Below are 14985 nucleotides of genomic sequence, written 5' to 3'. Positions count from 1 at the left end.
GTGCTTTCCTTCTGGGGGCTGGGGCTCATCCTCAAACCCCAGGATGCTTGCTTGGGCCCCTGGGACCCTCTGAGGTTTCTACCAGGCTTTCATTTTCCTTGGGGATTGGAAGCTATTCCTGTTTTCCCCAGCCACAGGCAGGAGCCTGCCCCATATCCTATCCTGTAGAGTCCCCAGAGAGCCCTGACGGCTATCTTCTTACCCACCATGAGCTACCTGAGCTGGGGTGCCTGGGCCTGTTCTGCAGATGGAGAAAATGATCTTTGCAAACACACTGTCATATGGAGCCTGCATCATTCTGTCCAACAACAGAAGCCAAGAAGGCAAAAAGGAGAAAAGATCGTAAGTCAAGGAGAGTGTTGTCTAGGGAAGGCCAGAGGAGGGGGAAAAAAAAGACAAAGACAAAAACAAACAAACAAGAACAACAACAAACCAAAACAGCCTTGGGATTTCCAAATTGCAGATGTTCACATAAAAGTCTCTTTCATGATGTACTTCTGGAAATAGACTCTGCAGATAACACTATGTTTATGGGGAAGACAGAGGTGGTGGCCACTCTGCGGTGCTTCTGCTGGCAAGATGCCCAGGGCTTGCCCAGGCACAGCCTGGTCCTGCTCACTTCTGCCTGCTGCAGCCTCTGAGCCCACCGGGCCCCACCTACCCCACTGAGACTCCTCCTGCCATACCCCTCCCTCCTCAGCAACCCCTCCTAGCTACCCAGGTACTATGATGATGATTTCCAAACTTTACTGCAAAGTACAACTACCCTGGGGCTTTAATGGACACTCTACTCAGAGATCCCAACCTAAGGGGCCTGGGAGGAGCCTGGGCATTGGGATTTTTTCCAGGTGGTTCTGAATGCCCCAAAGTTTCAGAATCACTGGCCTGTGAAACTTGTTAAAATACAGATTCCTCAGCCAGGCATGTGGTTCACACCTGTAATCCCAGCTGTTTGGGAGGCTGAGGCAGGTGGATCACTCGAGGTCAAGGAGGTCGAGACCAGCCTGGCCAACATGGCAAAACCCTGTCTCTACTAAAAATACAAACATTAGCTGGATGTAGTGGCACATGCCTATAGTTCCAGCTGCTCAGGAGGCTGAGGCAGGAGAATTGCTCGAACCTGGGAGTCAGAGGCTGTAGTGAGCAAAGATTGCACCACTGCATTCCAGCCTGGGTGACAGAGTGATAAAAACCAGATTCCTAGATCCCTCTTTGAATATTCGCCTTAAGTTTCTCTAGGCTGAAGCCTGGAATCCGTAGCAGTTTGACCAGCAACCCTTGGGAATTTTTATAGAAATAGGAACCACTGCCTTAGAACATTGGGCAGGGATAAGAGAAAAGTGTGGAGATTTTAGACCATCTTCCTTTTTTAACATCTGACTTTTGTACAACCCACACCCATGTTCATTACCCACCGACACTGCTAAGCTGCTTTCACACAGCAGTTCACGCAGACCTGCAGAACATACCGCATTCTGTGATTCATCAGGGTGACACAACTGCTCTGTAAGCAGGTCTTGTGCAGTTAAGTGAAAATGATGTATTTTATCCTTGATATTTTAAAATGACTGAAAAATGGGAGACAACCAAAAGGAGTATCTCCCGATGATAAGACCCCTAAGTCCTTAACCCCACTGGACAAACAGGGTTATCAGTAGGTAGGTGAACAGTGATGAAGTGATCCCTTCAATCATACTTATTGGACAAACTTAAGCTGATTAAAATTGGGAAGGAAAAAAAATAAAGCCCTGGAGGAAATGTTTCACATGTATTTTTGAGATAATATTTAAAGGTGAGTGGTAACTGATTATTATGGTGTATTTCAGCTCTTTGAAAGTGGACTTGGGAAGAGGTAAGTCTATAATTTGACGTTTGCATATCAGTATTCATTTTTACAAAAATGCTTAGCAATAGGCATAGGAGCAGAACGTGGGAGGCTAGCAGCGGTGGGGTGGACTGCCCAGGATATCTGAAGCGTCCCGTTTGATGAAGGAGATAGATCCCTTTCTCTTCTAAGAGTGTGTGCAGTTTATTGTGAACAGGGCATGGAATTTGCAGAAAGGGCACGTCATCTGCAATGAGGGGACCCCATTTGACAATTCCCCAACCTCCTGCCACTCCCAGCTTTGGGATCTGGAGCCGTGCTCACCTGCTCTGAGCTTGTTTCATCATTTGTAAAATGATGGTGATGTCAACATCCTCCAGCAGCCTTAATGAGCAGTTATTAGTGTCATCCCTAGTTCACAGATGAGGAAAATGAGGCTCCAAGAGCTCAAGAATCTTGCTCAAGATCTCGCAGCTGGAAGGTGGTCTATTGACCCAGAGTGTCCCTGCAGAACCCTTACTTGTAATCACCTTGCTGCACGGCTCCCTCATTCATTTGTTCTTCCCTCCACCCGCCCATCACACACATGTACCAAGCGTCTACTATGTGCCTGCTGTTCAGATGAACAAGGCAGGGTCCTCACCCCCTGGGAAGATAGCAATGGAATTGAGCCCAGGTTGCCAAGGGCCCCCAGAAGAGGAGTGAGGAGCCCTTGTGGGGATTCTCAGGGACGGGTTGCCCTTTCCCGCCTCCTGGGTGCCCGGCACTGCGCCTGGCACACCCTGGGCAAGTGCTCCGTGAGCAGTGTGGACGGTCGGAGGCCTTGGCTTGCCCTGTTTCGGAGGCCGCACCTAGATACTCCACCAGGGGGCAGGGTTGAGGCAGGAATGGCCGGAGCCGGCCCTAGCTGGGCCCGGGAGCTTTCAGGACAGGGTTGTCCTGCTGGAAGCAGCTTCTGTTCACTGCTTTGCTGAAAAGAGAAGCCCTGGGGACCGTGAGAGAATACAGGCCTGGCCGGTGCCCATGTCTTCCCCACGCTTGTTTCAAAGCGCATCGGGTGCCTCTGAGTCAGCCACAGGTAACAAACACCTCTTTTCCCAACACCTCCGGCACTTGCACCCCTAGGCACCTGTATCCCGGGCCCTGGTGGGGGCTCCCCTTCAAGTGGGGCCTGGGACAGTGGTCCTGGGTAGATCACCTTTGAAAGCTCTTAGCTCCAAACCCGTGAAAGGTGTATGAGCCAGGTACATCCTCCTCCTTCCCCCACCGCACTGCCCAGAAACTCCCAAGGGTGGTTTCCAGAAAGTTGTTGGCCAGGCTGCATGTTATGGGATGTAGAAGGTTTTCGAGATTTTCTACTAATTGGTTTTATAAACATGCAGGCGGGGAAAGTCAACTTTACATGATGAGGGTACAAGGGGCAAGAAGCCAGGTTTTTTTTCCAGATAACGAGCCCTAGTCCATGTGTTCACTCATGCATTCACTCATTTGTCAATCTGTATATAAAGCATCTACTAAGTCCCACATGCAGTGGCCAGTGTCAGAGACAAAGCCTCTGAGAACGTCCAGCCTCCAAGGAGACAGGAACGTAAAACAGGCAACCGCATTATAAAGGTCAAAAACTACAGCCCAAGAGCCATAGATGGCTCATGACATTTTTATAAGGGCCTGCCCACTATATGATAACCCTGTTTGTCCAGGGAGGTGAAGAACTTAAGGGTCTTTTCATCGGGAGCTACTCCTTTTGGTTTTCTCCCATTTTCAGTCATTTTAACAAAACATCAAGGGTAAAATACATCATTTTCATTTAACTGCACAAGACCTGCTTACTGAGCAGGGGAAAGAATGCTGAATGTTCTCACAGTTTTAGAGAGTAGTGAGAAAACCACAACAAAAAACACTGAATACTGTACACAAATTTAAACTGTGTTCTTTGCTAGAGACATATTTAAATATTCACCCACGTTGAGAGAATAATATAACGAACCCTACATACGCATCGGCAGCTTTGATAATTATCAACACTTAGTTGGTCTTGTTCCTTCCATTTTCCCCACACATGTATGGGTTTTTTTCTTTTCTTTTCTTTTCTTTTCTTTTTTGAGACTGAATCTGAGTGTATCGTCTAGGCTGGAGTGCAGTGGCGTGATCTCGGCTCACTGCAACATCTGCCTCCAGAGTTCAAGTGATTCTTGTCCCTCAGCCTCCCGAGTAGCTGGGATTACAGATGCCTCCCACCAGGCCCTGCTAATTTTTGCATTTCTTAGTAGAGATGGGGTTTCACCATGTTGGCCAAGCTGGTCTCAAACTCTTGACCTCAAGTGATCCACCCACTTCAGCCTCCCAAAGTGCTGGGATTACAAGCATGAGCTACCACACCTGGCTGTATGCTTTTTTATTCTTAAAAATCTAGCGAATCCTAGACAGCCTGAGATTTTACCTGAAATTCTCCAGTGTGTCTCTAAATTATGAGGAATTTTTAGGAAAAATGTAACCCCCATGCAATTATCACACCAATAAATTAGTTACAATTTTGTAACTTTCTCTAGTTAATACCCAGTCCACATTCAGATTGCACTCTCCCAAATAATTTTTTTTAACAGATGGTTTCTTTGAATCAAGATCATCTACATTTTAAGTAAGTAATTTAATCCTTGTGATTATCCTAAGAGGCAGGCTGCTGTTATTATTAGCTTCCTCATTTGTTAGATGAGCAAACTGAGTCACAAAAAGGTAAAGGTCAGATAATTTTTCCAAAGCCACTAGCAAATGGCAACGTTGAGGTTTGAACCTCAGCCCTGGGACTCAAAGCATCCGTTTCTTAAGGCTTCACACCTAAGGGCCACACTGTAAGGTAACTTAGCATAGTCTAAGTAAGGGCTACGAGGATGAGATGAAGAGGGGAAAGGGCATGGGGTTGGGAATAGGACCACAGAGTGCTCCCTAGAGGAGCAGACATTTGCACTGAATCCTAAAGGATGAGTGGAAATTGATGAGAGGGAGGGCAGAGAGGGCCCTGAAGCTGGGGATGACATGAGCAGGGGTGTGCAGGCAGAAGCAACGTGGCATGACACGTGATGACCAGTGGGCCATGTTGCTAGGGCTTAATGTTCAAGGACACGGAGATGGCAGTCAGGGGCCCGGGACAGAGGATGCGTGCTCCCTCCCCTGGGGAAGGCAGTGGTCTTTCCTGAAGTCAGTTTCCTGATCATCAAAACAATCCCATGAGGTCAGCATTGATGGCCCCAATTTGACAGATGGGAAACTGAGACCCAAAAAGGTTGAGACACAACAAGAAAATGACACAGTCAGCTGTTTTGACTCCAGGTCCTATCCTCCTCCAGCTACCTCTAAGGCACCTTGTTCTTGCCCACTGTCCAGTTCATTCAAATAACCATATGTAACCGAGGGCCTTTCATGTCCCAGGCCTGGGCTTGGCGGTGGCTATGGGGAGACCACGGAGGGGGCCAGCCCTGGAGCCACAGCGAACACAGACACGGGTGGAAGAATGAAGCTCTTTGCTGTCATTGAGCTCGGGCTTGTTCCACCTACAAGGGCAGAGTGGGCATCTACCCGATGGGGTAGTGGGGATCGTCTTCCAGTCTCCTGAGCTCCTTCCCTGGAGGGGAGAGGCCCTGGGCTCCAGTCCCCATGCTGAAGCTGGTGGCCTTGGACAAGTCACTTTCTCTGTAACAAGAGCAGGCTGGGATGAAGGGATCACTGTGGGCCTTCCACATCTGGCAATGGTTCGTGGATCAGGGAAATAAAGCAGGGGATAAAGTCTATCTGTCCTCCCTCCACCGCCCAGAGCGTGACTCCATCTCCCTTCCCTCCTCCTGCACTGGATCCCTGGCTCAGATAGGGAGAAACAGAACTGGCCTAAGGGACTGACACACAAGGATACCCCTAGGAGCTGGTCTAGGCAGCCTGCTTGGGGCACACGGTGGTGTTCTGAACCTTGCATGCCATGGAAGTGCGTAAAACTCTCGGCGCCTCAGTTTTCTCCTCTTTAAAATGAGGCTGATAGGAGCTCCTGCCACATAGGGCTCTCGTGAACATCAGATGAGACCTGTGGGAAGGGGCTCGCCGTGGGCCTTGGCTCACACTAAGGGCCCAACAAGGGCTGGCTCTTTGATCATCTAAGAGCCAAAGTTTGCAAGCATCAGGACTTGGCACTGGAGCACAAGGCCAGAAACAGCTGTCAAGGAAGTCAACTGGCATGCGTGCCTGTGTGTGCGTGTGTGCATGTGTATGTAGGCGACAGATTTAAATACAAATAGCATGGCTGGGAAGACAGGTGGCTGCAATCTCACTCCACGCGCGCCTGCCAGCTCTGTTATCCATGAGCTCCCAAAAGGACCATGAGACAACACTGTCTAATCTCAAAGCAGCTTGATATTCCCTGTCTAATTATGGCTCCTCCAAGCCCCTTCTCGACACATGCTCCACACCCAACCTCTTTCTAAGTCCTCTTTCTTAGTCCTAAGGTCTCTGTGACACGGGCATTTACATCCATTTTACAGATGAGAAACTGAGACCCAGGAAATTTAAGGGCTTGGGGCTGGGATGTGGTGGAGCTGGCTCTTGACCCAGGCTGTGTGCTGCCCGCCTCCTCTTCACCACCGCACTACCCTGCCTAGAGCACAAGCCTGAGCAGAGGGGCATTCTTCTTGTTTCCTTTTTCACATAAAGACATTGAGGCTCAGAGATGCAGGCAGAGCCTGCAGAGACCCCAGTCTCCTGACTCCTCGTTCTGTCCTTGCTCCAGAACCAAGCCCGTAAGCTGCCGCTTGCCACTCAGTCCTCTTAGCAGTTGAGTCCAGGCCCTCTTGCCAAATTCCCTCCTTTTCCTCCCCAGCATGAAGCTTCTACTTCAAAAAAAATCAGTGGTGTTCCCTCCCAGCCTCCCCCATCTCCTATACACATATTCTCCCCAGCCTATGCCAGGTCTGGTTCTTGCTTTAATTCATCCTATCAGGAAGTACACTGTGAGCACCTGCAATATGCAGGCATAGACAGTGACAGAGCAACAGAGCAGGGAAGATGTATGGGCAAGCCTGGTAGAGGGCACAGCATGTGCAAAGGCCCTGGGGCCTGAGGGCACAGGTGGTCAGGAAGCGACAAAGGGCTTGGCTTTGCAGGAGGGTAGGGGGAGGAGGGAGGGTGGCTCAAACACAGGGCAAGGCCAGCAGAGAGTCCCAGCTGGGCGACGTGTTTCCCTCCACGTGGGCAAGAACAAGAACCCATGGGTGCCCACTGGAAGATGTCTGCAGCTCCATTTGGAGGAGGCCACCAGTTCAGATGGCTTCAATTTCATGAATCAGAGAAGCATGGGGAAGGCATTTCAGAGCAAAGGAACAGCTTGGCCACGTGCACAGAGGCGGAACTCAGGAGTATTTGACAGCAAGGCTCATGAAGTAGAAAAGAAGGTGAATGGGAGAAGAACCAAAGGAAGAGACTGGGAAAACAGGCTTGTGTAGGAAGAGCAGGGAGAGGGCCTAATTGGGAAACCACTGAGATGGTGGGACCCCTCGGACGTCCAGGTGCTGATGTGATTTTCAGTTGTATGAGGCTGCTGTGGGCCAGAAACACAGCTACACTTTGAGGATTGACAAAAGAGACGTGGGCTGAAAGGAGAATATTTTTGGACACTGTAAGAGGGACAAAGCACATCTAAATAGACACCTAGAGCAAGGGACATACATTTTGGGTGCCGACAACCCCTTTCTAGAGAAGCAGCAGCGTGAGCTCCCCTGCTGCTTGTTAAATGATGGATCTGCCCGATGAATGAATGAGTGGACTCTTGGAATATATGGCAGCTCCAGCTGGAAGCCAGCTTTGGGATCAAGTCCAATCTCCTCACTTTCAAGATGAGAAAGTGAGTACAGAGAAGGCAAGTGGCTTGCCTAAAGCCACACAGCAGGAGCTATTTCCCCCTGGTCTTCTAGCTCTCTAGGCAAGGAGTCTGCTGTTCTGCTCTGAGGGCAGGGGTATGAGTCCCTGCTCTCTCAGGATATTCCCCTACTCTTAGAATTACCCGCCTTCATCCCCTCCCAGCCATGGGCAGGCTCATAGCACACATGCCTTTCTCCACTCCCAGACTCAGAGCAGGATTCCTAGAGCTGCAGGGTGGACCCCTCCCTTCCTTTCCTTTGGGCCTGGGCTTTCATTTTCTCTCACCCTACCCCCTACCCCTAATCAAGACTTAGCAGATCCACACTCAAAGCCCCAAGCCTGAACTTGCCTCCAGATTGGAGACGGTGGGGTGGGCGGGCTCAGATTTTATCGCATCCCCTGGAATGCCCATCGTTCACATTTGCGAGGCAGTCTCTTCTCCCTCGACTCTGTCTCTCTTCCTTCTTTCATAGAGAGGAGGAGGAGGAGGGGAGCTGACTGGTTAATGGAATGTCAGAGCTGGGGGGGAGACTAGAGTCTATCTCGGTCACTGGTGTTTGAAATCAAGTATACATAAGAATCATCAGGGTGCTGGTTAATGTGCAGACGTGTGAGGGTGAGGTCTTTCTAGGAATTCTGGTTCAGGGTTCCAGAACATGTTTTTCACCATCTCCCATGTTCTCCGAGCTTCCCCCTCTGAGTCCTAAACATACCCCTCTCTGCTAATATAAACCTCTGTTCCACACTGGAACCATCCTCCAGTTTAAACACAGAGAGACCACTCACCACCACACCTCTAGAAACTGGAAGTGGCTGGGCATATAGTTGGGTCTGTTGGGGTCCATGGAAAAAGGAAATAGGCTCAGAAACTCACAGTTGGCATTGAGGGACATCCTGACTCAGGTTAGTAAGATACACATCTCACCTACAGGCACCACCACCACCACCACCACCACCATCATCATCATCATCATCATTTCTTTCTCCTACACAATAACCCAAAAGTGTTCACTGACCCTCTAAATGTGCCAGGTAAGCTGGCCAGGCTATGGAATCTGTGGGATCTTTAGAACACATGCCCAGCACTGAGCCAGGACAGCCTGCCCATTAGTCTGCCCCTCAGCCTGCCCCTCCTCCTAGCCAACTGGTGCTGAGCCTGAGGTCTTTATAAACCCCTGCTCATTGGATAGGGCCTTGCCTGCAGCTGGTGCATCCACTCAAGTTGGAATTCCCCTGCCCTGCTATTGGAACAATAGAATCCTTCCCTTGGGTGTTCTGGGGCCTTGTGGGCTTTGTCTCTGCTTCATTCCCCATTCAACACCCTTAACAAGCCAATAGTACTAATGTTAATATATTCCTTTATACAGAGATGATCCTGGCTCAGAAAAGCTGGGCTACTTACCTGAGGGCACAAAGCCTGTAAGTGGAGACACTGGGATTAGAACCCTTGGCATTTCTCCCTCCCTACCTGTTATCATAGCCTTAGGCACACTTGTGTCTTTCTAGGCCGACACCATCTAGTAAAATACAATAAGAGCCATAGATGAAATTTTACATTTTCTAGTAGCGGTATTAAAAAGTAATACGAAACAGATGAAGTTTAGTGGAATAATAGATTGTGTTTAACCCAGTATATTCAAAATATTATCATCTCAATATGGAGTTAATATAAAAATTATTAATGGGAATATTGCGCTCTCACATTCATACCATGTCTCTGGAATCAATGGTGTATCTTATGCTTCCGGAACATCTCAGCTGGGACCAGCCTCATTTCAAGTGCTGAGTGGCCTCCTGCCACACGTGGCTACTGACTGGCTGGTCTAGATTACAGCAACACCGCTGCCTCATAGGTGTGTGCAAAAGGGCACTGTGCCCAGAGTAGAGTGGGCACATGCTCAGTGTGAACCCTTGCCACCATCCACATCACAGGGATGCAGGGCCCACCACAGTGTCCTTGAATGAGGGGACAGCTGTGCTGAAGCCTTGCTTTGAAACCTCCACGGTGACCCTTGCTGGCTCGCTTTGCTTCCTGGTTGTGGTTGGCACCCTTCTCAGCCCCTCCCAGGAACCCACCTGGACCATGGCTGCTTCGCCACCCTTGCTTCCATATCAGAGCCCACCTCCCTTGGAGTTTGCCTCCCTGCTGCCCAGAGGATGGCTGAGGTTCCTGGGAAGATCCCTGGGTTGCTGTTTATACAAAGCCAAGGGCAGCCTCCTGGCATGTGGGTGCTTTGCTGGCACAGGGCCGGAGCCTTTTCTAAAACCTGGGGGTGGTTGGTGGGGCTTGCTGTGGAGCCAGGAGTGCTGCTCAGCCCACAAGGTAGCGTTTTGTCTCTCAAGGAGCTGGTTGGGCGGAGGCCTGTTCCCGTGCCCACTCCTTCTCCAAATGCCATGCCGAGGGGGAAATGCCTTTCAGTGCCGTCCTCGTGCCAGCCTCCAAGATAAGCTGTCGGCTGGAGGGGCCCTGAGCTGGCAGCAGGGGCTTCAGGGAGCCCAAAGAGGCTCTGGGTGGGGAGTTGGGGGTGTGGGGCCTGGATGGGGTTTGAAATCTTCACTCAGATTCCAACTCTAAACAGGAGGTGTGAAAAGACATATTGTTCACATTCTCTGTTTTCTAAAGGGGATATTTTGCCATACACTTGACCCACATTATTCTGCAGTTGCTTCTGGAAGCAGAGAATGAGTTTGTATCTCACACCCAAACACAAGGTTCACACACACACACACCACACACGCAAACACAACACATACACACTCAACACACACACACCACCCACACACTACAAAAACACACCACATATACACTCAACAGACACACACCACACACATACACACACCATACACACACCACACACACACCACATACACAAACACACCACATACACACTCAACACACACACACCACAAACATGCTCACACCATACACACACCATGCACAAGCACCACGCACACCACACACACACAAGCACACTACATACATAATACACACCACACACATACACACCATGCATACACACGCATACCACACACCACACACACAACACACACACAAACCACATACACACTCAACACACACACCACACACATACACAGACACCACACACACACCACACACACAAACACACCATATACACACTCAGTACACACACCACACACATACACACACAAAAACACACCACAAACACACTCAACACACACACCACACACCACACACACACGTACCACACACACCACACACAATAAACACCACACACACACACCACACATCCCCCCCACACACCCCAGGCACATACCCCACAAACACACCACACACACACTACACACATCCCCACACACACCACACACACCCTCCACACACACACCACACACACACCACATCCCCCACCACACACGCACACACGCACACACCCCACACACCCCACACACACTACACAAACCCACACACACACACCCCACACACCCCACACACCCCTCCATACCACCACCCCCCCACACACACCACATACACACCACACACACCCCCACACACACCACACTCATGTTCCACACACACCACACCCCCCACCACACACACACACACCCCACACACATACCACACACACACCACACACACATACCACACACACACCACACAAATCCACACACACCCCCACACACCACACACACACCCCACACACACACCCCCACACACCACCACCCCCCCACACACACCACACAGGCACACACATACACACACACACCACACACACACACCAGACACACCCCACATACACACCATACGCATACCCCCACACACCCTCTCACAAACACACCCCACCCCACACACACACAGTGCAGCTATGCACATCCCACATGCACTGATACAGGAGGGAGGATGTGGGTTTTACCTGTAGACCTATACATAGACCACCACAGGCCTAATGCTTGCCCAGGATTTTATCACTCAGCTTTCGTTTGCTGAATTACACACTTCTGAGAGGTTTTCCTCAGGCACATTTTCACGTTCAGCAGCAGGGAGCTTGGTGTGGTGAGACAGTTAGTCCCAATTAACAAACGAGGAAAGTGAGGTCTGAGGTGCAACGGGACTTAGTGCGGCCGACACAGCCAGTGGCAGAGCCTGATTCCAGCCCCTCTACTCTGGCTGACGTTACCCCTGTCACCTGCCCCACTAGCCAGTAAACTCTGTCGGGCAGGGACTACATGCCCCTGGTTTCTGCCCTTGGACCAGGGAGGCAGGAGGCTACATTACCAAGAGCTGGACCAAGGTTCAAATGTCAGCTTCCCTGATTACCAGCTGTGTGACCTTTGACAAATTACTTAACCTCTCCGAGTCTCAGTTTTCATATCTGTTAAGGAGGATAATTGCACTTGCTAAATAATATTGTTATGGGAATTGTAGAATGTGCCTAATAAATGTTTGTTGGGTGAACTGAGGTTGGTCTTATACATGTGTTGGCTCAGTGCTTGCTAATGCACATTAAATGGAGTCCCTTTCTCTTAGCACATGGCGGACATGCTCAACAAATGCAGAAGAAAAGAATAAAGAGATGAAAGCATAAGTCATATTTGCAATACACCTTTAGCACAGATTAAATTCCCAAATACACTCGGCTGTTCCTGAGATCACTCCAGTGCCTTCCTCCTTGGCTGATCTCCTTCTGGGCTGCCATCTTCCTCCTTCCACTGCAGAATCTTTACAGAGTGCTTTCATATCTCCCAGAGAAGTCCCCCTTGTAACTCTACTTCCTCAAAGTTTTCTTGGCAATTCTCACATGCATTTTCTTCAATATGAACATTTACAACAATTTTTTCCATTAAGATCTCACTGAGACCCTGGTTGGACATGTGCTCCCTTTGCATATTAATTCGGGAGGATGACCATGTATGGAATTTGGCTATGAAACAAGGCTGGTTTCCAAATGGAGTCCAGCTCGTTTCTATCAGTCTCACAGCCCACACAGGGGGCGGGGCTTTCAGGACATCCTGAGAACTCCAGTGCCGTGCACACCTCTGTCCCAGAAGCATCTAAATCATGAAACAAGCATGGGGTGGGTGGTCTGGGTTCCCCAGGCAGGGGCTGCCTAGAAGAGAGGTACCTTGTGCTGGTCCCGGGAGCCTTCCCTCCAACCTGCTCCCTGGGTCCCTCCACACGCTCTGCTCCTTTGCTGGTCTCCTCTGGCTGAGTCCTCGGCTCTGTCCTTCACTCCTCCTCAGCACCGGCTGTTCTGGGAGCTGACTGGGGCTCCAGAGTACTTGGACTCATGCTTAAACCTCTCGCCTCCTCTGCCCACTCAGACTTTGGCTTCTCTCAAACGCTCACCTTTTCTCCATCCTCTCCCTGCCCTCCCAGACATAGCAACCTGCAAAGCTATACCCAAATAAAGGCGCAGCCATACCCAGAGCCGAAATAAACAGCGACTTAGCTCCTTCTGGGCACTCCTGTAGGACACAGTCAGCTTCCCCTAAGTAGGAATGGTTAGAAATTGGCATCAGAAGATCTAAGTTTGGGCCCTGGCCACTTATTAATGAGGAGCTCCTGGGCAAGTCCTTTACTTGCTCTCACTTTCCATTTCTTTCATTTGTGAAATGGAGCTGATAACTTTCTGGTAAGGTGGTTCTGAACCAACTATAGTCAGGCACCATGCCAGGCGTGAGGATTTAACCAAGATGAAACAGACCCACTCCCCGCCATCATTACACACACCGAGGCATTGAGAGGAATTCCTATTTCCCAGGTCTCAGTTTGCTGTCGGCTCTCGGCCTCAGTTCTGGCTGAAGCAGACCTAGAGTCTGATTCTGGCAAGTGGTTTAACCCCAACACACGGTTTCCTTATCTGTGAAGGGGGCTTCTTAACCCCCAAGGAAGCCATCAGTGTCATTTGGGGATAAACACTCTTTTGCCATCACCCCTCCGTCTCTAGGCTGTTCTGCCAGGAGCAGGTCCTGCCCTGGGCTGTGGAATCTGGGGCTCAGAAGCTGCCAGGTACCCACCTCCTGCCCTCCTTGCACTGCCTGCCTCTGCCTTTTCCTCACCATGCCTGGCCCTAGCAGGCTGGCTCTACACGGTCACATATGTGACTCCCCTGGCTTTTGGAGGTGCAGACCTTTGTCCCTTCCCCTTGGTGTACCCTGGGGTGCAGGTGGAAGAGAGAGAGACTCTGGGGTGCCCACATCACCCCCACCCTGGAACAGCAGGCTTCATAGGCAGGACCCAAGTATGGACACTCTGCAGACTGCAGAGGGCTGTGCAGACCGGAGGTGACAGCAGTTGGGGTTAGACATCACCCTGAGCACTGTTTGCTCAATAAGGAGCTTTTGTTGAAAGCTGGCATTTTTCTTTCCAATTTTTTTTGGCTTTTTCCATCTCCCATCTTCGCAGCATCTCCAATGCTTGGAGTCTTGGAGTTTTCAAACTCAGAGACTCTAGAAGTCACCTAACAACTTCGTCGCTTTACGCTGCTCCTGGAGGGTGAGTGACCCACCCGAGGCCACACAGCCAGGTTAGGCGAAGACGGGTCTGGAGCCCGGGCCCCTGACTCCCAGTTCTGCTGAGGGCCCCGTTCTTTCTGCACTGTTTCAGGTGGGGAGAGAGGGCAGGCTGGACCTGTGCAGTTTGTTTCCCCAAGTGTCGCACCGTCCTCCTCACCCTGCCAGCTTCAGCCAACCTGGGCAGCTGACTCCTCACCCTGGGCTCTGTCCTTGCCCTGTAAGTGGCCACCTTCCAGCCCCAAACCTTCCTGGCCCTTTTCATCCTGCCCACCAGCCCCCATGTAGCAGGACCCAGTAGAGAAGGGAGCTGGGTCTCCCTCTGAGCCCCTCCAGGCAGGACTCACCGTGGCCAGGACGGTGCTGGCGGCTGCTGCTGTCACTGCTGCCAGCGTCCAGGGCAGGAACCACCTCATGCCTGGACGTCAGTGGCACAGGCATCGACCGAGCAGCCCAGAGGATCCGACCACCTCTCGGGGGAGCTGGGCCCAGACTGGCCGGCCCATCAGGAGCACCAGATATGCCTCTTCCGCAGCCCTTGGGGGGTTTTATTAAAGCAAGATCTGACGTCAGGGTGAAGGACAAACCCTGCATTTTCCTCTGAAAAAACTTTTCCTGCCTCTCTCTCTTTTTTTTTTTTCTTTCTTCCCTCTGTCCCCACCTCCAGCCTGAGCTTGGCCAGCCTCCCCAGCTCTGACAGTTCTTAAAGGGAAAGTTACAAGGCTATGACTTCACACTAGGGTGTGAAATTCTCACAGAGGAGCTGGGGTCATCCT

The 14985-nt window shown here is 50.7% G+C and overlaps 1 protein-coding gene across 5 annotated transcripts in view, besides 2 other annotated features; it reads right to left on the bottom strand.

Annotated features, from left to right (window-relative positions):
* Window positions 1-14731, bottom strand: part of CCN4 (cellular communication network factor 4) — a 40652-nt gene extending 25921 nt beyond the window's left edge. For all 5 annotated transcript variants that reach the window (NR_037944.2, NM_003882.4, NM_080838.3 and 2 more), the window contains exon 1: window positions 14557-14731. Coding sequence is in view for 4 of the 5 variants with exons in the window: in NM_003882.4 (NP_003873.1) it covers window positions 14557-14625 (69 nt within the window). In the remaining variant the exon portion in view is untranslated. The remainder of the gene's footprint in view (window positions 1-14556) is intronic.
* Window positions 9243-9742: an enhancer, noted in NCBI's record as "H3K4me1 hESC enhancer chr8:134208271-134208770 (GRCh37/hg19 assembly coordinates)". NCBI's record gives its function as "activates a minimal SCP1, AML or CMV promoter by ChIP-STARR-seq in naive H9 embryonic stem cells {active_cell/tissue: H9 hESC(naive)}" and the evidence as "EXISTENCE:reporter gene assay evidence [ECO:0000049][PMID:30033119]".
* Window positions 13612-13859: a silencer, noted in NCBI's record as "fragment chr8:134204154-134204401 (GRCh37/hg19 assembly coordinates)". NCBI's record gives its function as "represses an EF-1alpha promoter that drives an FKBP-Casp9 reporter gene in an ReSE screen in HepG2 liver carcinoma cells {active_cell/tissue: HepG2}" and the evidence as "EXISTENCE:reporter gene assay evidence [ECO:0000049][PMID:32094911]".

This window comes from Homo sapiens, chromosome 8 (genome assembly GCF_000001405.40).
Source record: "Homo sapiens chromosome 8, GRCh38.p14 Primary Assembly".
Lineage (NCBI taxonomy): Eukaryota > Metazoa > Chordata > Mammalia > Primates > Hominidae > Homo > Homo sapiens.
The sequence above is the reverse complement of the archived record's forward strand: the minus strand, read 5'-3'. Positions and strand labels throughout refer to the sequence as shown.